The sequence below is a fragment of the Homo sapiens genome, chromosome 1 (genome assembly GCF_000001405.40).
Source record: "Homo sapiens chromosome 1, GRCh38.p14 Primary Assembly".
NCBI lineage: Eukaryota > Metazoa > Chordata > Mammalia > Primates > Hominidae > Homo > Homo sapiens.
Window position 1 is genome coordinate 40120834 of NC_000001.11, and position 26181 is coordinate 40147014.

A 26181-nucleotide genomic window follows, 5' to 3' on the forward strand; every position below is an offset into this window, starting at 1 on the left:
GAATTTTTAATTTAATTTAATTTAATTTTAACTGATTTAAATTTAGATAGCCACATGTGGCCAGTGGCTACTGTACTGGACAACACAGTTCTAGTATGTAAGCTTTGAGAGAGCAGGGATTCAATCTTATGCTTTGCCATATCTCCAGAACCTAGAACAATTAAATACTTCTAACCAAGATATTCTTTGGAGGATGGAGTCTTGTCAGTGTCTAACATTTGGGTCAGATGTGGCCAGCAATGAGTCATTCATTGATTTGGCTTTTGTCTTAGGAACATCAAGATGAAGATCAAGGAGATCCCTTTTCTTCAAAACATTGCTGAAAAAGATAGTGTAACAACATTGCAGAAAAAATTTTAAAAGTAAGTAACCTCCTACAATTCTTCCAGCAAACATTGCAACTGTTTTAATTTTTTGCATACTGTCTTCCAGATTTTGTTCACATGCAGGTGTCTTTTCAATATTTTGCAGACACAGAGGACACCATCAAAACTTTGTCCTTGGGGGCTGGGCACGGTGGCTCATGCCTGTAATCCCAGCACTTTGGGAGGCCAAGGCAGGCGGATCATTTGAGGTCAGGAGTTTGAGACCAGCCTGGCCAACATGGTGAAACTCTGTCTCTACTAAAAATACAAAAATTAGCCAGGCGTGGTGGCGCGTGCCTGTAATCTCAGCTACTCTGAGGCAGGAGAATTGCTTGAACTCAGGAGGTTGAGGTTGCAGTGAGCCAAGATTGCGCCATTGCATTCTAGCCTGTGCGACACAGACTCCATCTCAAAAAACAAAAACAAAAACAAAAACAAATACCTTTGTCCTTGGAGAACATCTCCAATGCCCAGCCAGGTCTTAGCTCAGAAGGAACCTGACTATTGGAGTCATTTCCTGTGGCTCACCCAGTGAAGAGATCTTACCACCCCACAGCCACTTGGAGAGCCCCGTGCATTGAAGACACTGGGTTTGGCCCTGGGTATATAGCAATTGAAGATCATTTGTGAAGGACTGATATTGAAGAAGGCAGGGGCTATGCTGGCTTATTCATTCATCCAACAACTACTATACTGTGCTATTGAATATCATAAATATTTTCCTTATTTGTACAGGGTCTACTATTTTCCTTTTTATGGCTGAGTAGCAGACACACCAAAATCTACTAAACCTATTCTTTGTGGATTGTAGACCATTTAACTTATGCCCATTATTGGATCTTACAGAATTCTGTAATTAACTCTTCCTGCATGGAGCTTTTTACTTTTGTTGTATTATTTCCTTATAGTGTAGTAGTTGCTTATGTGTATAGGTTCTGGAAAGAGATGATCTGGTTTTTAACACTATCCATGGTAGTTTGGGCAAATTTCTTAACTTCTCTATATCTCAGTATTTCATTTATCAAGAAGGGTCACTAATAACACCTTCCTCATAGGATTGTTGTGAGAATTGAAATGAATAAATTACATGTAAAGTGCTTGGTTCTGAGTTAGTACTCTATACAGAATAACAACTGCTGTTATTATTAATTCTTGATCCAGGAGTAATTTCAAGGATATTAATATTTTCAAGACTGTTTCTAGATTGTGGTAATGGTTGTACAACTCTGCAAATATATTAAAAGTCATTGAACTATACACTCAATAAAAGCCTTTTGCTAATTATGGCTATTTTGTTTTCCCAAATGGTATTCCTATTTTCATTCCTATCCTCACCTCAATTTTATCACAATCTCATCAGAAATGGGGGCTACTATTTTAAATACAGTTTTCTTTATTTGAGAAAGGTCAAATAGAACCCTTAATGTGCTTTCTCTTGCATTTTTTACCTTATTACTAGCAACGAATGCATGTATTGTTTACTCTTTGCTTCCTATTGAATATTTGCTCCCTCTTGCTCTAACTCTGCCCATTTTACTTCTGTGGCTGAAGTCCTTTTTCTTGAATAATCTATTTCTTAGTATGTCTTAATTTACTAATAATAGTGAGTTGGTCTCTAAAAGGAAAGCTTTGAAAAAGCTAATTGTTTTCTCCTTAAAGGGCTCCTCAATATTCTACCAGACCTATGTTCTCATTAGCCAAGGGCCTTCTCCCAACATAGTCTTTCCATCCTAATGTACCTGCAGCATTTTTCCCAGGGCCTGCACTCTAAAGACTTGATAAGAAAAACTTTGAACACATGCTCCTTTCTTCTTGCTTTTCATATCTACTGATTGGGCTTGGAATTCTGCCAAGATAAACAGTGTCCTCTGCTCTTCAGGAAAATGCAAGGCTTCTCAACCATCTTTGAGGGGCCTGCTTCAGATGACAATTTCACAACATGTTCACAGGGCAAACTTGGATTGAGAAGACCCCCAATTTAGAGACAATAAATCTCCAACTGGAAAGAAAGCATCACTACTTTCCCTAGTACAGTAATGTTAATTGAAATATACAGAATGTTGTAACTCTTGCAGTTCCATTTAAGTGAACTAGGGATGACAGCAAAAGAGGCTGACAAGCTGGCCAAACAGGGACTTCCTAGCCCAGGGTCTGAGCTCTGTCAGTGTGCCCAAAGAGGATTAGGCTCAAAGAGTAGACTCATAATAACCAAACTCACAGGAGTTTGAAGTCTATACCTTCATAAAGGATTTCTGAAAGTTCTGTTTGTGACAGACGTGCCCTGAAGATGAGGCAAGGAGTGCAGGTGTTAGTCTGTTTATGTGGGAAAGGACTGGAAACTCTCTAAGGGGACAGAGTGTTCTTCGCTGGGTGTATATTGCTTGTTCAGATGATACCCTGAGACCACAGATGGGTCCTTGGCTTTTTCCTTCTGAATATACAACTGAAGATGTTAACCCAGGATAGTCTGTGGTTCAGGAGTGGCCACTAGCAGCACTTCCAGGCACCTCCATCCTGAGGGAGAACACTGCTAGGAGAAGGATGGGCAATTAGGGAGAATGAGGCTGTTGGGTCATTGCTTACTCCTTTGTCTATTGGTACCCAATAAATAAGCATACTTCCCCTTCTTAAAATAGCCTCATGTTAGGAGGGCTCCATTCAATTGTTTCTTGTGGGTGGATTTGAAAGAACTGAAATTTCTTCTATCCTTAATTCTCTTGTCTCACTCAGGAACGAAATATGCCAGTGTATTAATAAACATGCTCTTTGATGAGAATGCTCTTCTCTTCTCAGAAGCAAAATAAAATGCTAGCAGTTCAGGCCTGAAAAGCACTAAGATCCTGAAGCTCAGCTTTATTGCATTTTGGCTAACAACACTAGGCCGTTAGAAAAAAAGAGAATCTATTCAAGCAGACACAGTTCATTATTTACTTAGAAAAAATACAAACTCTTATTCTAAGTAAAATAAAAAATGCACACAAGATTATTTCACCATAACAATTATCAAAATGTGTAGACTTTACTCAAAGTAATTGAACTATACAGGCCTCAGCAATTCCTGATTGTTTGCTGGCTGCCCCAGAGTTATTTTTATGCCAGCTACCAGAATGTGATGACTTAGTAATAGTTAAATGGCATTTTGTAATAAACAGACAAGCTAAATTATAATGATCAATGGCCCTTAGTAAAATTATATGATTATAGCCATCAGAGAAAAAAAAATCCACAGGTAAGAAAGAATTGGATAACTGCATTAAATGTTTAATCAGGCTATGCAAAAATAACACAACAGAACACTTCTAGAGAATGTAGCTGGTCTCAAATATGCCTTCTATTTGGGAGTCATAAGTTTCCTTTTTTTTTTTTTCGAGACAGAGTTTTGCTCTTGTCGCCCAGGCTAGAGTGCAATGGTACGATCTTGGCTCATTGCAACCTCCGCCTCCTGGGTTCAAGCAATTCCTTGCCTCAGCCTCCCGAGTAGCTGGGATTACAGGCACCCACCACCACGCCCAGCTAATTATCCTTAAGAACTGCTCGGGGAGACAGATTTGAGTAATAATAAAACTCTGTTCTCCCGCACAGCAGGCTCTGCTTGAATTACTCTTTCTGTATTGCAATTCCCCTGTCTTGATGAATCGGCTCTGTCTAGACAGTGGGCAAGGTGAACTCCTTGGGCGGTTACACAACTGGGATTGGAGACGAACAGGAGAGTATTATAGTCAGAAGGAGGAGGCCCTGTGGGAGGAGTAAGTGTAGAATCTACCTGTCATGTTGGTGCTCTTAACACTGTGGATCAGATCAAAACCACCAGAAAGCTATGTATTTGTTAGTAGCCATACCTACCAGGGAGAAAAGACCAGTAATTATTACCAACATTTATTGAGCACTTACTATGAACCATGAACTTTCTTAGAGGTTATGAAAATTAACTAATTTAGTTAGTTAATTAAATTCAACCACCTTACGAAGTGAGCTCAATCATCCTCAATTTTCAATGTAGAAACCAAGACATGAAGTTAAGGGCAAAGTGAGACAACTAATAAGAAACAGAATTTGAAGCTAGTAATTCTGACTACAGAGCCAAAGAACCTAACCTGACTGCTACATATAGCTTGCAAGGTCTTAGGAGACTTTAGGAGCTCATGAGGCACAATGGCATCTCGGGGTCAGACACAGTTCTGAGGAATCAACTTTTGCAAAGGATTTTAATGGCCTCAGCCTGCACATACTAAACCATTCCATCCCAGTCCAGTGCCCCTTCTCCATCACAATCAAGTGCCATAATCAGTAGTTTATAGGCAGTAGTGGGTGGAGGATATTTTTGACTGAGAGAGCTGGGAAGAGGAAGACATTTTGTCCAAATTAAGAGGTGTTTGCTGCCTTACCTTCTTGTGAGATCTTGATGCTTGGAATGTTTTGGAACAAACATTCCAAGCAAATACATGTTGCTTGGAATGCAACACGTAGCATCTTCCCATAAGCCTTGGTAATGCTCTCAGATGGACACTCAAAAATACCTGATACCAGCTGGGTACAGTGGCTCATGTCTGTAATCCTAGCACTTTAGGAGGCTGAGGTGGGTGGATTACTTGAGCCCAGGAGTTCGAGACCAGCTTGGGCAACATAGCAAGACTCCGTCTCTAATTTTATTTTTATTTTTAAAAAAATATTTCTTAAAAAATAAAATAAAATAAAAAAGACATAAAAAAGAACACCGATACCACATACAACAAGGCTGTTCCTTCCCCAATATTTAGCAATATACCAAGAGAAAATAAATTCTGAGAACGTTTTCCAACAATTCTCCATACTGCAAAGAGGAGATTGTACAATATTACTGAAAGAAAAACAAAGAAACATAGAAACAGAAAGAAGATAAATCAGGTCAAGATGTCCAAGGACTGCAGACTTCTGTACCCAAAGCTGGGTGCCTGGTTTTCTTAATGACCATAATGTCCCATCTTCATTTCTACTTTATTTTTTGTGTTCTTGACGTAAGTGGATTCAAATACCTTTGTTTTTTATGAATTAGAACACAGATAAATCTATTTAATAAGTCATAAATTATTGACATAAAAATCTTTACTTATGAGAAATAAGTGCAGCATAAAGTGCAGACCAACAGTAGGAGCCAGATCATCTTATAAGTTTTTTTTTTAATTGAGACAGTCTCACTCTGTCGCCCAGGCTGGAGTGCAGTGGTGTGATCTTGACTCACTGCAACCTCCATCTCCCAGGTGCAAGCGATTCTCCTGCCTCAGCCTTCCCGGTAGCTGGGATTACAGGAACATGCCACCACACCTGGGTAATTTTTGTATTTTCACTAGAGACGAGGGTTTCACCATGTTGGCCAGGCTGGTCTCAAACCCCTGACCTCAAGTGATCCACCCTCCTCGGCCTCCCAAAGTGCTGAGATTACAGACATGAGCCACCGAGCCCAGCTTTTTTTTTTTTTTTTTTTGAGACAGGGCTTTGCCATGTTGCCCAGGTTGGCCTCGAACTCCTAGACTCACATAATCTGTCTGGCTAGGCCTCCTAAAGTGCTGGGATTACAGCCATACCCCCAGTTTTGTAAATAAAAAAGTCTAGGTCAGGTGAGGTGGCTCACCTATTAAAAATACAAAAATTAGCTGGGCGTGATGGCAGGCACCTGTAATCCCAGCTACTCGGGAGGCTGAGACAGGAGAATCACTTGAACCTGGGAGGCAGAGGTTGCAGTGAGCCAAGATTGCACCACTGCACTCTAGTCTGGGCAACAGAGTAAGACTCAGTCTCAAAAATAAACAACAATGACAACAACAAATGGGGGTAGGGAGTGATGGAATAAATTATTTTTATCAATTCTTTTTTTTTGAGACAGAGTCTGGCTCTGTCACCTAGGCTGGAGTGCAGTGGCATGCTCTCGGCTCTCTGCAACCTCCCCTCCCGGGTTCAGGCAATTCTCCTGCCTCAGCCTCCGGAGCAGCTGAGATTATAAACTTATAAGCTTGCCACCATGCCCAGCTAATTTTTGTATTTTTAGCAGAGATGGGGTTTTACCATGTTGGCCAGGCTGATCTCGAACTCTTGGCCTCAAGTGATCTGCTCGCCTTGGCCTCCCAAAGGGCTGGGATTACAGGTGTGAGCCACCACTCCCTGCTTCTTTTTGGCAATTCTTTCAGCTCCAAGATTTTGTGCTTCTATGGTGTCAGATTTATCAATATAACTTAATAGTTCTCTACTTCTTCTTTTTTTTTTTTTTTTTTTGAGGAATACCGCTAAAAAGGACAGGAAAGAAAATTGTACCATATCTGGGAATTTAAATTAAAAGTTGTAGGCAACATCTCCATATTTAGATACTGAAAAGAAAATACTCAAATTTCAGTTCAAGACAATATAAATGTGCCAAACTAGTTGTATTAACTAGGAGCCATGTATTGAGCAAAACAGTAGAATAGTTGGGCGTGGTGGCGTGCACCTGTAGTCCCAGCTACTCCAGAGGCTGAAGCGGGAGGATCACTTATGCCCAGGAGTTTGAGGCTGTCGCGTATTGTGATTATGCCTGTAAATAGCCACTGAACTCCAGCCTGGGCAACATAGTGAGACCCTGCTCTAAAATAATAACAATAATCTTAAGTTATCTTACTTTTTTTTTGAGCAGAGTCTCACTCTGTTGCCCAGGCAGGAGTGCATTGGTGTGATCTCTGCTCACTGCAACCTCTGCCTCTCAGACTCAAGCGGACAGGTGTGGCAGCTTACACCTATAATCCCAGCACTTTGGAAGGCTGAGGTGGGAGAATTGCTTGAGGCCAGGAGTTGAGAACCAGTCTGGGCAACAAAGCAAGACCCTGTATCTACCCCTGCTCCCCGCCAAGAAAGAAAAAGCTGGGTATAGTGGCGCATGCCTGTAGTCTCAGCTACTCTGGAGGCTGAGATGGGAGGATTGCTTGAGCCAAAGAGTTTGAGGCTGTAATGAGCTACGATCACACCACTGCACTACAGGTTGGGTGACAGAGCAAGACCTGTCTCAACCAAAAACTGAAAACTAAAGTCAGAGATGGAGGATGTCAGGAGTGTAAGAGACTAATCCATGAATTTTCAAAAAGTCTTGTCTAGAGTTAAGAGTGTATTATTGGCCGAGGGCAGTGCCTCACACCTGTAATCCCAGCACTTTGGGAGGCTGAGGTGGGCAGATCATCTGTGGTCAGAAGTTTGAGACCAGTCTGGCCAACGTGGTGAAATCTTGCCTTTACTAAAAATACAAAAATTAGCCAGGTGTGGTGGCTTCATGCCTGTAATCCCAGCTACTCAGGAGGCTGAGGCAGGAGAATCGCTTGAACATGGGGAGCAGGAGTTGCAGTGAGCCGAGATCTCACCATTGCATTCCAGCCTGGGTGACAGAGCGAGACTCCATCTCAAAAAAAAAAAAAAAAGAAAGAAAGAAAGAAAGTGCTATTAGGTATAATTTACAATATATAATTTAGATTTTTAATAAATACTTGGTTTTAAAATGTCTTTTGGAAATTTGGGATAGATATTGAATAGTGAATGCCTATATGTTTTTAAAGGCTTTGGAAATAATCAAGTGTATTCATTCAACTTATTCAATAAATATTTATTGACAGCTACAGTATCCCAAGCACTGGGACAAGTCAGTGAGCAAAACAGATGAGGACCCTTGTGATGCTTGGGGAAGACAGACAACAGCAATAGACATGCTAAATAACCAAAGTAAGCAATAGATTCTAAGGCAATAAGTAACAGGGAATTTAAAAAAAGAAATAGAACAGGACAGGAAGGAGTGCTAGTGACTACAGGAATGTTGTAATTTTTTTTTTTTTTTGAGACAAAGTCTCTCTCTTGTTCCCCAGGCTGGAGTGCAATGGCGTGATCTCGGCTGCGCGATCTCAGCTCACCGCAACCTCTGCCTCCTGGGTTCAAGCAATTCTCCTGCCTCAGCCTCCCGAGTAGCTGGGATTACAGGTGCCTGCCACCACGCCCAGCTAATTTTTGTATGTTTTAGTAGAGACGGGGTTTCACCACGTTGGCCAGGCTGGTCTTGAACTCCTGACCTCAGGTGATCTGCCCACCTCGGCCTCCCAAAGTGCTGGGATTACAGGCGTGAGCCATCGCGCCCGGCCAGGAGTGTCGTAATTTTAAATAGGATGGTCAAGGTAGGTCTCATTGAGAAGGGACACTTGTTCGAAGACTTGAAAAAAGATAGGGGATTTAGCCATGTGGTCATTGGGGGAAGAGGCTCTTAAGCAAGAGGAATAACACATGCAAAGGCTCCAAGGAAAAAGTGAGCCTGGTGTGTTTGAGAAACAGCGACTAGGCCAGTGTGCCTGAAGGAGAGTGAGCAATAAGGGGAGTGGAGGGGGATGACAATAGAGGCAGCCAGAGCCAGAGTAGGTAGAGCTTTATAGGCCATTGTAAGGACCTTGCGTTTTCTCTAGATCAAGATGTCTCAGTCTCAGCACTATTGACGTTTTGATAGATAATCTTTTTTTGTAGAGGATTGCCTAGCTCAAAACATTGTAAAATATTAAGAAGGATTCTTGGGGCTGGGCCTGGTGGCTCATGCCTGTAATCCCAGCACTTTGGGAGGCTGAGGCAGGTGAATCATCTGAAGTGAGGAGTTTGAGACCAGCCTGGCCAACATGGTGAAACCCCGTCTCTACTAAAAATACAAAAATTAGCCAGACATGGTGGCACACACCTGTAATCCCAGCTACTCAGGTAGCTGAGGCACGAGAATTGCTGAAGCCTGGGAGGTGGAGGTTGCAGTGAGCCGAGATCACACCACTGCACTCCAGCCTGGGTGACAAGAGCAAGACTCTGACTCAAGAAAAAAAAAAAAAAAATGAAGCATCCTTGGCCTTTTCCTACTTGACGCTAGTAGTCCCCTGCCAGTGTGACAGCCAAAAATGTCTCCAGACATTGTTAAATTCCCCTAGAGAAAAATCCTCCTCTCCTCTGATCCTTGTCAAGAACAACTAGCCTACATAATATCAAAAGCCTTTGGAGAATTGTAAGTAAAGGAGTGACATCTGACATGCTTTAAAACAACTTTATTGATATATAATTATATACCATAAAATTCACCTACAGGGTAAAATCTGTGGGTTTTAGTATACATAGTTGGGCCGCCACCACCAGAATCTATTTTAGAATGCTGTAATCACTCCCAAAAGAATCTTGTACCCATTATCAGTCAGTCACTCCCCATTTCCATTCTTTTGAATGTAGATATCCAGTCGTACCAGCACCTTTTGTTGAAAAGACTATCTTTCTGATTGAATTGTTTTGGCACCCTTGTCAAAAATGAATTGGTCATAATAGGAGAATTTATTTTTGAACTCTCATTCCTATTCCACTGATCTATATGTCATTCCTACACTACCACCACACTGTTTTGATTATAGTAGCTTTGTAGTAGGTTTTGAAATCAGGAAGTGAGAGTCTCAAAATTTGCTCTTCTTTTTCAGAATTGTTTTGGCTATTCTAGTTCCCTTACATTTGCATATGAATTTTAGAATCAGCTCATCAATTTCTGCAAAAAAAATCCAGCTAGGATTTTTGTAGGGATTGCATTGAATCTGCAGATCAATTTGGGGAATATGTCCATTTTAATAATAAGTCTTCTGATCCATGAACATAGGAGGCCTTTCCATTTATTTAGATCTGCTTTAATTTCTTTCAATGGTATTCTATAGTTTCCATTGTACAAGTCTTGCACTTCTTTTGTTAAATTTATTCCTGAATACATTATTTCTTGATGTTATTGTACATGGAATTGTTTTCTTCATTTGGAGAACAGCCTGTTGCATGGCCAGAGTAATGCCATTTTCAAGCAAAGCCTACATAATGACCCATATTTGACTCCTGCATACCAAAGCAGTCCCACAGAAACAATGCCTGTAGCATAGATAACCCCTCATAAAGATGCTTATCTAACTTCCCCAGTGGTCATGAGTTTTGCAAGAGCGTCTGAGACATGACTAACTGCACGTGTTTTACCAAAAAAAAACTTGCTATATAAAGGATATTTTCTGGAGGGCAGGTGCAGGTGTCCACTGTCTTGTAGCTGCCCAAGACAAGGCTCTGTTCTACCCGTCCTCACCTTCTTCCCCTGACCCATTCCCCAATGGGAAGCTTTTTAAAAATAACTCTATTGAAAGACGTTTTTCCTCTCTTGTGCTTACCTTCATATTTCTAAGTAATATACTATGCCACCATTCCTTGATTTGTCTATTTTTGGATTAAGCTAATACAATCCTCCTCTTCTCTCAATACAGTTACAGGACTGACTGTTTTAGATCCTCTCTCTCTCTCTTTTTTTTTTTTTGAGAAGGCGTCTCGCCTTGTCGCCCAGGCTGGAGTGCAGTGGCGCGATCTCTGCTCACTACAAGCTCCGCCTCCCGGGAGTTCAAGCGATTTCCCTGCCTCAGCCTCCCAGCCTGTAGCTGGGATTACAGGCGCCCGCCACCACGCCCGGCTAATTTTTTGCATTTTTAGTAGAGACGGGGTTTCACCGTGTTAGCCAGGATGGTCTCGATCTCCTGACCTCGTGATCCGCCTGCCTCGGCCTCCCAAAGTGCTGAGATCCCAGGCGTGAGCTACCGCGCGCCGACCTTTTTTTTTTTTTTTACATGGAGTCTCGCTCTGACCCCCTCCCTGGCTGGAGTGCGGTGGCCCGATCTCCGCTCACCTCAACCTCGCCTCCCAGGATCAAGCGATTCTCTTGCCTCGGCCTCCTGAGTAGCTGGGATTACAGGCATGTGCCACCACGCCAGGCTAATTTTGTATTTTTAGTGGAGATGGGGTTTCACCACGTTGGTCAGGCTGATCTCTAACTTCTGACCTCAGATGATCCGCCCGCTTGGCCTCCCAAAGTGCTGGGATTACAGGCGTGAGCCACCGCGCCCAGCCGGACACCTAGTTTTTTTAAAATGCAGATATCAGAGACTTTCCCTTTCCTTTCAGCATTCTTCCCCACGTTCATCCTCCAATTTCTATCATGTGTAGTTTCACTTTTACAAGATCAAGATGGAAAACATTTACATTCAGTCTTTCGTGCTTTGTCTATAAGCTGATGCCAAGTTGAAATCAGCAGGGACTACTTCCATTGACTATGTAATTATGCAGAGCAAAGCCAAACCATTAATTATAATTTATATAAATTAATTTATTTCCTTTCTTGCTTAGGGTTTTATTTTTTTAATTATTGTCAAAGCTGTTTATGACAAAATATGAGCAAAGGAAGCCATTTTTCCCCTACTGACAGGAAATAAACTAGACTTTTTTTTACAAGATCACTTAACCAGTGTCAATGGATGTAAAAATTCAAAGAGGGATGAATAAATTCAAATCTTATTTTTGTATTTATTTATAAAAATAAATAACAATAAATATAAATTTTATATTTATTATAAAAATAAATATAAATTTTATATTTATTATAAAAATAAATATAAATTTAAGGTATTCGATAACTTATGGGACGTCTCAATTTGTGCTTTAAGGGCGCACGGCGCAGAGAGGCGCAGCAGAGGTTTTCCAGGTTCCGGATGCCAGGGGCCGGATGGTGAACTCCTCCCTGCAGCGAATCCTCAAAAGCCACTGCTTTGCCAGAGAGAAGAAAGGGGATCAAAGCCAGCGCCACCGTCCACGCCAGCCGCACCAGGCCGCTCCTCAGCCTGCACAGCCGCAGCGGCCGCAGCAGCAAGAGTTCCAGGGTCTCCCTCCGCTGCTGTAGTAACCCGGTCCGGGATCTCGGTGGTGCTCCTGATGCCCCTCGCGCACCCCTGATGCCGGTCGCCCACCCCTGAAGATTCCGGGTGGGCGAGGGAATCGTCAGAGGGATCACGATCTTTCAGCTACTCTACTCCTATGATCGACTGCATGTAACAGAGATTCTAACGTTCAACGACAAGAGGATTCTCAACGTCCACTCCAGGCTCACAGATGCCAAACTGGCATTAACTGGCGAGCCGTGCTGAGCGGCGGCAGCCTCTGCATCGGAGATTCCTGGTGGTGCGCTGCCCCAGGGGAGCGAGGATAGCTTTGCAGTTCTCCAGCAGTTCGCCGAGGAGCAGCTGAGCGCCGACCATGTCTTCATTTGCTTCCACAAGAACCACGAGGACAGAGCCGCCTTGCTCCGGACCTTCAGCTTTTGGGGCTTTGAGATTGTGAGACCCCTTGTCCCCAAGAGACCCGACACTTGCTTCATGGCCTACACGTCGGGGAGAGAGTCTTTGGGCGAGGAGTAGTAGCGGCCGCAGCGGGACTGGGCATCAAGCTCCTGGGGCCGCCCCGGCGTCTGCCGGGTGGGTGCGAACGGTAGGCTCGCTCATCTCGCCTGGGTTTATCCACATGTTGTAACTGCAAATGAACGCTAAAAAAAAAAAAAAAAAAAAAAAATTAGCTGGGCGTGGTGGCGCCTGCCTGTAATTTCAGCTACTTGGGAGGCTGAGGCAGGAGAATTGCTTGAACCCAGGAGGCGGAGGTTGTGGTGAACCAAGATCGTGCCGTTGCACTCCAGAATGGGCAACAAGAGTGAAACTCCGTCTCAAAAAAAAAAAAAAAAGAAATGAAAATTGAGACATGATATGCTGGAAGATATAAGTGCCATTAACGAAATAGAGCGGAATAAGAGGGATCAGGAACGTTGGAGAGGGAGGATTGTAATGTTAAATAATTAGGATTTTGATGTAGAATTTTAATTTTATTTAGAATTATTATTTGTATTAGAGTAAGATAAAAATAATGAGATTAGAGTTAAATTGAATCCATGACTCTGAAAAGTCTCATTCAGCCAATGAAATGGTTAAATGTTTGCTTTGTTTTTGGCCCTGCTGACACCCTGCGGTCACTGAAGATGATACATTGCAGCCCTGGTGCCTAAATCCTCCATGTTAACCTTCATAAAAATAGTGGCCAGTGCCAAATCTCCAGGCAGAGAAATGCCTGATATATTTTGTTACTGATGGGAAGGAGGAATTTTTGGGGGGTTTCAAGTATAATGTTGCAGGAGTCAAACAGGAAGGTTTGAGAAGAAAGTTTTCACGCCCAGGGACAGTCAAACCATGACAGGTTGAATATGGAAATCAATGCCTATAATCAACTGGAACAAGTTAAATCTATATATACGCCCTGAATCCAGGATAATATAAAATAAAGAGATGTTAACATGAGATATGGTTAAAATATAGTTACAATGTAGAAGTAAATTATCAATATATGTTTATAAACATTTGAGAATATTATTTATTAAGTCAAATTATGAAAGTTCCACCTTAGAGCTATGGTCATGACTTGAGTAAACAATCACAATTATTACCATATAAGGAAGCACTGTCCAATAGAAATAAAAATGTGAGGCAGTGGTTCACGCCTGTAATCCCAGCACTTTGGGAGGCTGAGGCAGGCGGATCACGAGGTCAGGAGATTGAGACCATCCTGGCTAACACGGTGAAACCCCATCTCTACTAAAAATACAAAAATTAGCTGGGTGTGGTGGCAGGCGCCTGTAATCCCAGCTAGTTGGGAGGCTGAGGGAGAAGAATCGTTTGAATCTCATACTAGGTCTCCTCCTCCTCCTCCTCCTCCTCTTCTTCTTCCTCATACTAAGAATCACTTGAATCTCATAGTAGGTCTCCTCATCCTCCTCTTCCTCCTCCTCCTCTTTCCCCTTCTCCTTCTCTGTCTCCTTCTCCTCCTTCTTTTCTTCTTCAACAGGGTCTTGTTCTGTCACCCAGGCTGAAGTATACTGGCATAATCATAGCTTACTGCAGTCTTGAACTCCTGGGCTCAAACAATCCTCCCACCTCAGCCTCCTGAGTACCTGAGACTGCAGGAGCACAACAACATGCCCGGCTAATTTTTACATTTTTTGTAGAGACAAAGTCTCCCTATGTTGCCTAGGCTAGTCGTGAACTCCTGGCCTCAAGCAATCCTCCTGCCTTGGACTTCCAAAGCACTGGGATTATAGGTATAGGCCACCATGCCCGGCTTTGTACTAAGTCTTTGAAATCTGGTGTGTATTTTACTTTTTTTATTTTTTGAGACAGAGTTTCACTCTGCCACCCAGGCTGCAGTGCAGTGGTGTGGTCTCGGCTCACTGCAGCCTCCACCTTCTGGGTTCAAGTGATTCTCCTGCCTCAGCCTCCTGAGTAGCTGGGATTACAGGCGTGCACCACCATGCCCAGCTAATTTTTGTATTTTTAGTGGAGACGGGGTTTCACCATGTTGGCCAGGCTGGTCTCGAACTCCCCTCAGGTGATCCACCCGCCTCGGCCTCCCAAAGTGCGGGGATTACAGGCGTGAGCCACCATGCCCGGCCAGCTCTTCTCAGTTTGTATTAGCCATATTTCAATTTGTATTACTCATATTTCACTAAAACCGTGATACTGGCATAAAGACAGACATATTGCTATATGTGGCCACAGGTTACCATATTGGACAACGCAACCACAGGGCCTGAAAAATGAGTTGCTTGCCAGGCACGGTGGTGTGCACCTGTAGTCCCAGCCACCCAGGAGGCTGAGGTGGGAGAATCATTTGAGCCCAAGAGTTCGATGCTGCAATGAACTATGATGACACCACTGCACTCCAGCCTGGATGACAGAGGAAGACTCAATCCATGCTTATTGTGATAACAAATTCCCCATGTATCCAAGTTGTAAAGAAAGGTAAGATGTACCTAATGAAGGTGTGGGCTTCATAATAAATCACAGAAATATCTGTTTATAATGATAGCCAATATTTATTTAGCACTTTCTATGTACCAGGCACTGTACCACAAGCTTCACAAGGGTAATCTCATTTACGTTAATCCTCACAACACCTAATAAGAGAATAATAATGGCTGATATTTACATAACATTGTTCTAGACATTTTGCATATATTAACACATTTGATCCTCAGGGAACCCCATGATGTAGTTTCTACTAGTTTTCAATTTTAAAGATCTGAGACACAAAGAGTTTAACAGCCTTACCTAGTAAGTACAGAGCCAGCATCTGTGTACATGTATTTTAAAAATATACATTATTATTTTTCTAATCTTAGAAAGAGAAGAGTCATATTGAATGATTTGATTTCAAGTACATTGAGCAAATGAATCAAAGATCATTTTATTCTGTTGAATGATACATGGCCATAAAAGATGTTGTGACTATGCAGTACTTGTTAAATTTTATCTTTATCTTTGAATAAGATAAAGCAATCCTATCAAAACTCACTAAACTCTTTATGACCCCCAAAAGGCCTGTGGAACAAATAAACCCATGAGAGATGAGCCCTCTTTTCCGACGTAATAGCCTTGGGGGAGGTGGACCAGAAAGCTGCTGAGCCTGCTCTAATTGGCACAAACAGGGAAGGAAAAAATCTCATAAAACGTTGTCTTGGGCTTTTCAACTTTCTCTGGACAGGATTCCAGTACTATTAAGGCATATCTCAAAAGTGCCCCTAATTTCATGTCTGTGGCCAGTCATGACTATTTTAAGAACACCCTGAATTATAAGAATAGGTAATGGTGCCATCTCCTTCTATAGAAAAGCATTTTTAAAAGTTTTTGTTTTATAGAAATATCCATCCTAAAATTTATGTGAAATTTCAAGAGACCCTGAATGGTCAAAACAATCTTTAAAAAGAAAAACAAAGTTGTAGGTTTTACATTTTCTGATTTTGAAACTTTTAATGAAGCCAGAGTCACTAAAACAGTGTGCTCTTGGCATAAAGACAGACATATAGACCAATGGAGTAGAAATAGAGCCCAGAAATAAACCCTCCTATATATGATCAAATGACTTTTGGCAAGGGTGCCAGGTATATTCAACTGGGAAAGGACAGTCTTTTCAAGAAATAGTTTTGGGAAAACTGGATATCCACATATAAATGAATAAAGTTAAAACCCTACCTTATACCATATACAGTAATTAATTCGAAGACCTAAAATAATTAGATCAAAGACCTCAAATAAGAGCTAAAACTATAAAACTTTTAAAAGAAAACATAACGTTGTTTATAACGATTGTTCATAACGTTGGATTTAGCAGTGATTTCTTGAATATGACACCAAAAGCACAGGCAACAAAAGTGAAAATAGATAAAACTATGCTCTAGGCTGGGCGCTGTGGCTCACGCCTGTAATCCCAGCAATTTGGGAGGCCGAGGCGGGCGGATCACCTGAGGTTGGGAGTTCAAGACCAGCCTGACCAACATAGAGAAACCCTGTCTCTGCTAAAAATACAAAATTTAGCCAGGTGTGGTGGTGGGCGCCTGTAATCCCAGTTACTCAGGAGGCTGAGATGGGAGAATCGCTTGAGCCTGGGAGGCGGAGGTTGCAGTGAGCTGAGATCGTGCCATTGCACTCCAGCCCGGGCAACAAGAGTGAAACTGTCTCAAAAAACAAACAAACAATGCTCTAAAGGACACAATCAGGGTAAAAAGGCAACCCACAGAATGAGAGAAAATAATTGCACTCCTATATCTGATAAGGGGTTAATATCCAGAATATACAGAGAGTTCTCACAGCAAAACAAACAACCCAATTAAAAATTGGGCAAATAAGCTGGGCACAGTGGCTCACGCCTGTAATTCCAGCACTTTGGGAGGTTGAGGCAGGAGGATCATGAGGTCAGGAGATCGAGACCATCCTGGCTAGCACAGTGAAACTTTGTCTCTACTAAAAATGCAAAAAAATTAACCAGGCATGGTGACGTGCACCTGTAATCCCAGCTACATGGGAGGCTGAGGCAGGAGAATTGCTTGAACTGGGAGGTGGAGGTTGCAGTGAGCTGAGATCACACCACTGCACTCCAGCCTGGGCAACAGAGCAAGACTCCGTCGCAAAAAAAAAAAACAAAAAAAACAAAAAGGGCAAAGAGCTTGAATAGTTATTTCTCCAAAGAAGATATGCACATGGCCAAAAAGCACATGCAAAGATGTTTGACATCACTAATCATTAGGGAAACGCAAATCAAAACAACGAGCTACAATCTCATACGCATTAGGATGGCCACTATCAAAAATATGAAGAAAATAACAAGTTTTGGTGAGGATGTGGAGAAATCAGAATCCTTGTGTACTGTTGATGGGAATGAAAAATGGTGCAGCTGTTGGCTGGGCGCGGTGGCTCACACCTGTAATTCCGGCACTTTGGGAGGCCAAGGCGGGTGGATCACCTGAGGTCAGGAGTTTGAAACCAGCCTGGTCAACATGGTGAAACCCCATCTCTACTAAAAATACAAAAATTAGCTGGTCGTGGTGGCGGGTGCCTGTAATCCCAGCTACTCGGGAGGCTGAGGCAGGAGAATCACTTGAACCCGGGAGGCGGAGGTTGCAGTGAGCCAGCATCACGCCATTGTACTCCAGCCTGGGCAACAAGAGCAAAACTCTGTCTCAAAAAAAAAAAAAAAAAAAAAGAAAGAAAAGAAAAGAAAAGAGAGAAAAATGGTGCAGCTGCTATGGAAAACAGTATGGCAGTTCCTCAAAAAATTAAACATAAAATTTTCATATGATCCAGCACTGATACTTCTGGGTATATATCCAAAAGAATTGAAGGCAAGGTCTTGAAGAGTTATTTGTACACCCATGTTCAGAGCAGCATTATTCACAATAGCTGAAACATGGAAGCAACCCAAATGTCCATCAACAGATGAATGGATAAGCAAAATAGGATATATCCATACAATGGAATATTATTCCACCTTAAAAAGGAAGGAAATCCTGACATATGCTATACCATGGATGTAGCACCTTGACAACATTACGCTAAGCCAGTCACAAAAAGACAAATACTGTATGATTCCACCTATATCAGGTACTTAGTAGTCAAATTTATAGACAGAAAGTTGAATAGTGGTTGTTAGGGGCTGGGGAGAAGGGAAATGGGGAGTTGTTTAATGGGTATAGAGTTTTAGATTGCAAGATAAGAGTTTTGGAGATTGGTTGCACAACAATGCAGATGTACTTAACACTATTGAACTATATGCTTAAAAACGGACAGGTTGGTAAATTTTATTTTATGTATATTTTGCCACAATTAAAAAATGGTTTTGAATAATTTCACACTTAGAAAAGATTTGCAAGATTAGTACAGAGAATCCTGAAGAATCTCCACCAGAGGCATTTTATCATATTTGCCTCCTTATCTCTTTATTTCTCTCTCTCTCTTTCCATATATATATACACACACACACACACACACACACACACACACACACACACATAAATATACACGAATTTACACCTAGTAGTTTTAGCATCCATTAATGATTCTTGCCTGGATTATTACTATAATGGCCACCAAATAGAGATTTTCCTATGTCCATTGTTTCTTCTACATTTATTACTTGAATTCTATAGTAAAGTATCATTTCCTTTCCCGTATCCTCTTTTTTTTTTTTTTTTTTTTTTGAGACCAAGTCTTGCTCTGTTGCCCAGGCTGCAGTGTAGTGGCGAGATCTTGGCTCACTACAACCTCCGCCATCCAGATTCAAAAGATTCTCATGCCTCAGTCTCCTGAGTAGCTGCGACTACAGGTGCACGCTGCCACACCCAGCTAATTTTTGTAATTTTAGTAGAAATGGGATTTCACCATGCTGGCCAGGCTGGTCTCAAACTCCTGACCTTAAGTGATCTGCCTGCCTCAGCCTCCCAAAGTGCTGTGATTACAGGCATGAGCCACTGGACCTGGTCTCCTGTATCCTTTTTAATTAATTTTTTATTTATATTAGTGTGGGCTTAAGGATTCCCAATTTATTCAATAAGTTATAATTCCTTACAATCATAATTTACTTTGATGACTAGATTGTCCCTGATTTGGCCAGTGGGAGCCTCTTTACACTGGCTCCTGTGTTCTTTTGACATTTCTCATCTGTATTAGTTTGCTATGCCTGCTGTAACAGTGTACCACAAACTCGGTGGCTTAAAACAGCTGCAGTTCTCATGGTTCTGAAGTCCAGACATTCAAAATCAACTTCACTGGGCCCAAATCAGGAATATTAACACGGCCATGCTTCCTCTGGGCTCTAGGGGAGAATTCGTTCCTTGCCTCTCCCAGCTTCCAGCTGGCACTTGGCTTGTGGCTGCACCACTCCAGTCTCTGCCTCCTGCCTTCTCCTTTTGCGTAATCTCTCTCTGCCTCTCTCTTACAAGGATACTTGTGTTTGCATTTAAAGTCCACTTGAATAATCCAAGACAATCTCCCCATCTCAAGTTCCTTGATCATATCTCTAAAGATCCTTTTTCTGTATATGATAATATTTACAGATTCCAGAGATTAGAGCTTCAGGGGCCATTACTTAGCTTACTACATCCTCATTCTTTGAATACTTCCTTTCTTCCTGAACCAGTAAGATTTTTCACTGCCCTAGTCATGAAATCAGCCATTTCTCTAAGAACTTTTGGTTTCTTTTTAGTGAAGAATGATACTTGGAAGTCAAGATGTAGATGCTAGGTGCACTCATTGCTATGGGTGTGTCGGTCTTGCAAGTCCTTTCAGTAGGACAAGGAAACAAGATATCAACTAGGAAAAATATGTCTGGACACACACACACACAATCATACGTATGATGTACATTCCGAAGTACTGTAGTGGAGTTGGCTCATATGGACTTGCAAAAGCTGCTTGTTAAATATTCAGGAACTTTGCGGGTGGCTGTGAAACTAGTATTATTTCATGCTGGGAGTATTTACACCGTGGAAATCAGCAAATGCTACAAATTAGTGTGTTTTGAAAAACCAAAAAGCCACTATACATATCATAAACACACACATCTACTCTTCTGTCTCTCTTTGTATATCATATATAATATTCACACACACACACACCCTATAGGCTCACACCTCTGACTCTAATTACAGGGTTTGTTCTAGTCTTTCCCCTTTTCATACTTATTGTCTCCAAGAGTAAGAAACCTGGCTCTCACTATTCTCAATATATTTTCTTATTTGCTCAATCTCCTGACCACATGGGCCATCTCCTTGGCCCCATTCTTACTGACCCTGACCTTGAGCTGCAGGCTTTGCCATGACCCTGCCATTCCTGACCATGAGAACCATTTATTTGGCTCTGAACCTAGTTGTCCTGACCTTGTAAGCTACTACCTCAGCCCCAGACCTGCCAGCCCAGATCACCAGAGTCTCCTTGGCCCAGGCTCCACCAGCCCTAAACTCACTTAAACAACTCTTGGCCCCAGCCCTACACATTTTCTTGTTTGTCTATTCTTCCAATTAAAAACGCCCACTTCGTCATTGTTTTTAACTGCCTGATGTTGAGTGGTCAATTTGATTTTTTCACATGGTTGGGTTAAAGACAGGGTTGCCAGATAAAATACAGGATGACCAGTTAAGTTGAATATGGGACATACATACTTATATTTAAAAATTATTTATTGTTTATGTAACTCCAAACTTAACTGGATGCCTTGTGGTTTTATTTGCTAAATCTGGCAATGCTAGTTAGAACTACAAATAAGTGGCCAGGCGCAGTGGCTCACGCCTGTAATCCCAACACTTTAGGAGGCTGAGGTGGGCAGATCACCTGAGGTCAGGAGTTCGAGGCCAGCCTGGCCAACAAGGTGAAATCCTGTCTCCACTAAAAATACAAAAATTAGCTGGGCGTGGTGGCAGGTGCCTGTAACCCCAGCTACTCGGGAGGCTGAGGCAGGAAGAACTGCTTGAACCCGGGAGGTAGAGGTTGCAGTGAGCTGAGATTGTGCCACTGCATTCCAGCCTGGGCAACAGAGCGAGATTCTGTCTCAAAAAAAAAAAAAAAAAAAAAAGAACTACAAGTAAGCATCCTTTAATCCTTCTAATCAGTCCCTGGGTCATCTGAAATACTATACTCAAGTCTGTAACCAAAGACCTCCCTGCACACAATGGGCTCCCAGTGCTTCCTGTACCAAGACCTATTACCTCATACCTCGACAGTCCCACTTTCTGTGCAATAACTTTTCCCCACCCCTGGCCTGCTCAAACTGTTTTTGCTCCCCTCCAAACAACAATCAGAGTTGTAGACAACACAGTTTAGTATACAACTAGAGCATTTGGTTTACTAATTAGCTCTTGTATTTTTATCTTGGAATACTCATAAAAGAGATAAGGCAGCCTCATCAATCCTCCAGGAAGCTTTCCCTTGCTAGATGCCAGTAGTCTCCACACCACAGCATTCTTTTCATTTCTTTCCCATTGTTCTTACCATCTTATATTGCAAACCATCTGTTTAATAGGTTTTGTTATGGACTCATCTACAGGGTAGAATGTTAAGTGTTTGTTTGTTTGTTTGTTTGTTTAAAGGAGGAAAACTCAGAGACAGTAAAGCTACCATACACAAAGCTAACAATACACATACCATATAAAAATTCTGCTTGTATGTAAGTAGAATGCCTCTGAATGGCTGTAGAATAAACTGTTTTCAGTGGTTGCTTTCAACCAAGAGACAGGGGTGGGAGGGAGACTGATTTTTACTATTATTTGTACAGATTTTTTCAAAACCAAATACATATTTTAATTATTCAAGAATATTTAATTTTTTAAGGAGAAATTATATGTTTATGTGTGTGTCTTCCTCATAAGACAGTTAGCTGCTGTTTGAGGTCAGGAACCAGTTCTATTTCAGTTTGTATTCCAAGAGCCCAGCTCTGTGTCCAGGTCAGAGTTATAATATGGGTTCTTACGCTCTTTCTCTGTCTCTCTTATCTTTCCCCACTGATTCATTTCCATTGCTATTGCAGATAGTAGTCAAGTTAAATTAAAATGTATTAAATGGGCCGGGCGCGGTGGCTCACACCTGTAATCCCAGCACTTTGGGAGGCCGAGGTGGGTGGATCACGAGGTCAGGTGATTGAGACCATCTTGGCCAACATGGTGAAACCCCGTCTCTACTAAAAATACAAAAATTAGCCGGGCATGGTGGTGTGCCAGCTACTCAAGTGACTAACGCAGGAGAATCACTTGAACCTGGGAGGTGGAGGTTGCAGTGAGCCGAGATCATGCCACTGCACTCCAGCCTGGGCGACAGAGCGAGACTCTGCCTCAAAAAAAAAAAAAAAAGATATAGAACATTTCTTTCACCCCCAAAAGATTCCATTTGCCCCTTATCCATCAATTTCTACCTCACTTCTACCTCTGGCCACTGGCAACCACATAATAATTACTTTACCATTTATGAATGGATTTTAAATAGATTTAACTATACACATTTAATTTATTAATAGGATAATTTTATTACAAAACGAAAAAAGCAAAAGACTGCCTACAAGAAAGTGCATATTTGATCACATTTTTGCTCCATTTTTTTCCTGACTCTTTATTATTAGAGAATAAATTTAGCATGTAGTGTAAGAAAGGAAAGTGGAGAGGCTGCCTTACCTTCAACAATAATAGCAGTTGTCATTTATTGAGCAATTGTTATGTATCAGGTACCATATTAGCATGTTACATGACTCTTTTCTCATTTGATCCTCACAACAACCCTGAAAGGCAGGTACTTATTATTAAGGATGCTCCATTTTACATGTGACTCTGAAATACCCCTGACCTCAGCTATGGTTAACACAAATGGACTTCACCTTTAGCAATATTCTAAATCTCCGAGCTCTGGATAACCCACCACATGCTTAAGTAGCAACAAAGGCAGGCTTTGCAAACCAAGTCCCCTCCTTGATTCTCAGAAATCATTAAAACTCCCACTGCCACTGCTGCTCGAGGACTGCTGACCTTGTCAATGTCTGAGCTGCCTTCTCCAAGACCTCTTAACTTTTTGTCTGTGTCCCAACTCCTGCAGGGCTGATCTGGAGTCAACTCCTGCAGGGCTGATCTGGGGCCAACCCCTGCAGGGCTGATTTGGGGCCAACTCCCACAGGGCTGATCTGGAGCCAACTCCCACAGGGCTGATCTGGAGCCCTCCTCTCCCTCAGGTGCGTCTGAGTAGCTCACAAAGATCCTCAAACATTCCTAGGGTTTGGAGTCTGTTGTCCCAGAAACAGAAGTCCTCTAGGGGGCAGTGTGAATCAACTCATTGGGCCAACCTAATAAAGTACCTCCGCGCGAGTTAAAATTCTATTACACTTAAAGATGAACCCTGTGGCTCAGAGAGGTTAACGAACTTGGTCAAATCACCAGCTAGTCAGCAGCAGGACTAGGATTCAATCTCAGCCTGTCTGCCTCCAGAATGACTTCTTTTCATTCTGTTGAGCTATCTTCCTAACCATTCATTAGCTTAGAGGGAAAAGGACACAGCCAGTAAACAGCAATTAAATAATTGCAGAGCAACTATTCTGTGCCAGGCACTAATCTATGAAGTGAACAAAAGAGAAAAGATGTCACTTGGGAGAAATGGTGTTCTTTGGGGAAAGCCAGGTCTAAGTTAAAGCAGAGAAGAGATCGAGAATATAGGATTTTGTTGATGACAGACCATGAGTTCTATGCACTATAACCCATTCAATCACTTATGCATTCAGCAAATATTCATGTTTTTTACATCCTTGCACTGTGCTAGGCACTGAAAAATAGAGTGGGGAGCAAATAGACATGAATACTGCAAGTTTACAGTCTAGTGGAGGATTAAACAAATAAATTAATATTTAAATGTATAATTACATATTTTGGTAAGTGCTATGAAGGAAAAAAAGAACAGGATGCTAGAAGAGAGAAAATTAAGGGCCTTACTTTAAGAGATCAACCCTGAAGATTGAGAAGAAGCTGGACAAGTGAAGAATGTTCCAGATAGAGGGAAGAACAAGTACAGAGGCCCTGAAGTGAGAAAAAGTTTAGGGTTTGCTGAAGGTTAATGTAACTGGGGGCCTCTGCCATGACTGGATGATATGCCCCGTTAATTGTATTTAGTACACATAGAAGGGAGTTTCCAAGAAAAGGTGACAAATTGAGCAGACACAAAGGCAGGAAAATTATATGTTGGGGGGTGGGGTAGCAACATGTATGGGGTGCTAACAAGAAATTCTGGTGCTTTTAGGAATAGCAGGTGATAAGGCCAGGTGGTAGAACCTAATAGGCAGGCTGAAGATTTCGATTCTATTTGAAGCAAGAAGGGACTGAACAATCTTAAACAATGGAGTCAAATTTAGGAAGATGAATCTCGGGGAGCAAGGGGATGAACTAGAAGCAGGAATGCCTGTTGGGAAGCCCTTGCAATCATTCAAGCAAGAGCAAAGTAGGGCATGTCTAACGGTAGTGGTACGATGAAGGAACTGCCCCTCCCTTAAATCCAACAAATATAAAATCTCCCAAAGGGCAGAGGAAAGAAGGATTCTCCAGGGAGACTTTGGCAGGAGGGGAAAGTCTGAAATAGCATCTGTGAGATTTTTGGATTCCCATCTCCTTTGGGGGTTCTCTACCTTTGGGCCCCTAACCCTTCATCAAAATGGGAGCAACAAAGCCTCCCAGAAGGGAATGCTGAGCCCCTGGGAAAGGAACAAAATGTTCCCAGGGTCCCAGGGAGGTGATGGCAGCAAGTCCAGCCATGGGAAATGATAATCAAAATCAGCTTCTGAAGCACATCCTCTCCCTCACCTGGAAGCCACTCTCACTCTTCAAATGCTTCTCATTTGAAGACCTTTAGAGGACATTATTTTGTGTTATCTATATACTCTCATTCCCCAGGCATGGAGAAGTAGAAATGGGTAAGAGAAAATATGGGAGAAAGTTTCCTGAGCACAAATTAATAGGACTTAGAATCTAACCTGATTAGATTTGGGGGGTAGAGAAAGAAAGGATAAAAAATAACCGTGGGAGAAGCTAGGGTGTTGGAACAATGGTGGTTTAAGATCTTCTCATTCCCTTTACACCAATTGTACCCTCCCTAAGCAAACTTCCGGTGTTAATTTTGCTTCCCAAGCTGACTTTTCTGTAGAGATACCATTATATTTCTTAAGGTAAATTAGTAATTTGGGCTCTTGTGCCTTAATCACAACCTAGGTGAAATGATAGAATCAAGTTATTGAATTTGCAAATCAGAAATCCTAGCCTAATCAATCAGCTCCTTTGATGATCCACAGTATGGGTCTGTCCTCTTGATCATTTTGTCACTCACAGGACAAAGTCGTGAAAATAGATGGCATCCATGGTCAGTAGGTGTGGAGGGACTACAGTAAAGGAAACTAAAGTTATCCTCTGAAGCTGAACCTTATAGGAGTAATACTAGTGACACTGAGTGCTTACTGTGCATCTGGCCTCATTCTCCGCTCTTTGGATAAATCTCATTAGGACCCACAACTATGAGAATTATGAGACACATGCTGTTACAATGTCCACCTTAAGATGAGGAACCCAAGGCTCAATGAAATTAAATGATCTAAAGGCACACAACGAATAAGCAGTCGGAGCTGGGATCCAAACCTGACAAACCTGACCCTAGAGCCCTCTGGGTTTTACCCATAATGAGAAAAATTTACCTTGACCATAGTAGTTGTCCACAATGTTCCATGAATCTAAACAGATGGATCTTAAAAATGTAACCACTCTAACTCATCGTTTGTGTCTTACTCATGATGTATTGAGAGATATCTAGGTTCACTCAAGCCGGTGGTTGGGTTGGGGGGTATGGGGGGGACCTGGGAGTATCCATAGAACTGGAATATGATAAAGAAAGTTGCAATTAAATTAACTGTATTATAACTTCTGAGGGAGAAAAGAATATAAAACCCAGGACTTGTTTTTTTTCATGATGTATTTTTAGCCTCTAGGACAGTACCTGAAACATGGTAGACTTTCAGTGAATATTTGTTGAGTAAATGAATGATGCCACTCAACACTGTCCTGCAATCTTCCTGCACATATCTAGAATGCATTCTTTTTTTCTCACTCTAA

General features: G+C 41.9%; 1 pseudogene, besides 2 other annotated features; it reads left to right on the plus strand.

Annotated features, from left to right (window-relative positions):
• OAZ1P1 (OAZ1 pseudogene 1) lies at nucleotides 11876-12743 on the plus strand (annotated as a pseudogene).
• Nucleotides 12052-12551: an enhancer, noted in NCBI's record as "H3K4me1 hESC enhancer chr1:40598557-40599056 (GRCh37/hg19 assembly coordinates)". NCBI's record gives its function as "activates a minimal SCP1, AML or CMV promoter by ChIP-STARR-seq in primed H9 embryonic stem cells {active_cell/tissue: H9 hESC(primed)}" and the evidence as "EXISTENCE:reporter gene assay evidence [ECO:0000049][PMID:30033119]".
• Nucleotides 23145-23244: an enhancer, noted in NCBI's record as "active region_830". NCBI's record gives its function as "activates an Ori minimal core promoter by ATAC-STARR-seq in GM12878 lymphoblastoid cells {active_cell/tissue: GM12878}" and the evidence as "EXISTENCE:reporter gene assay evidence [ECO:0000049][PMID:35858748]".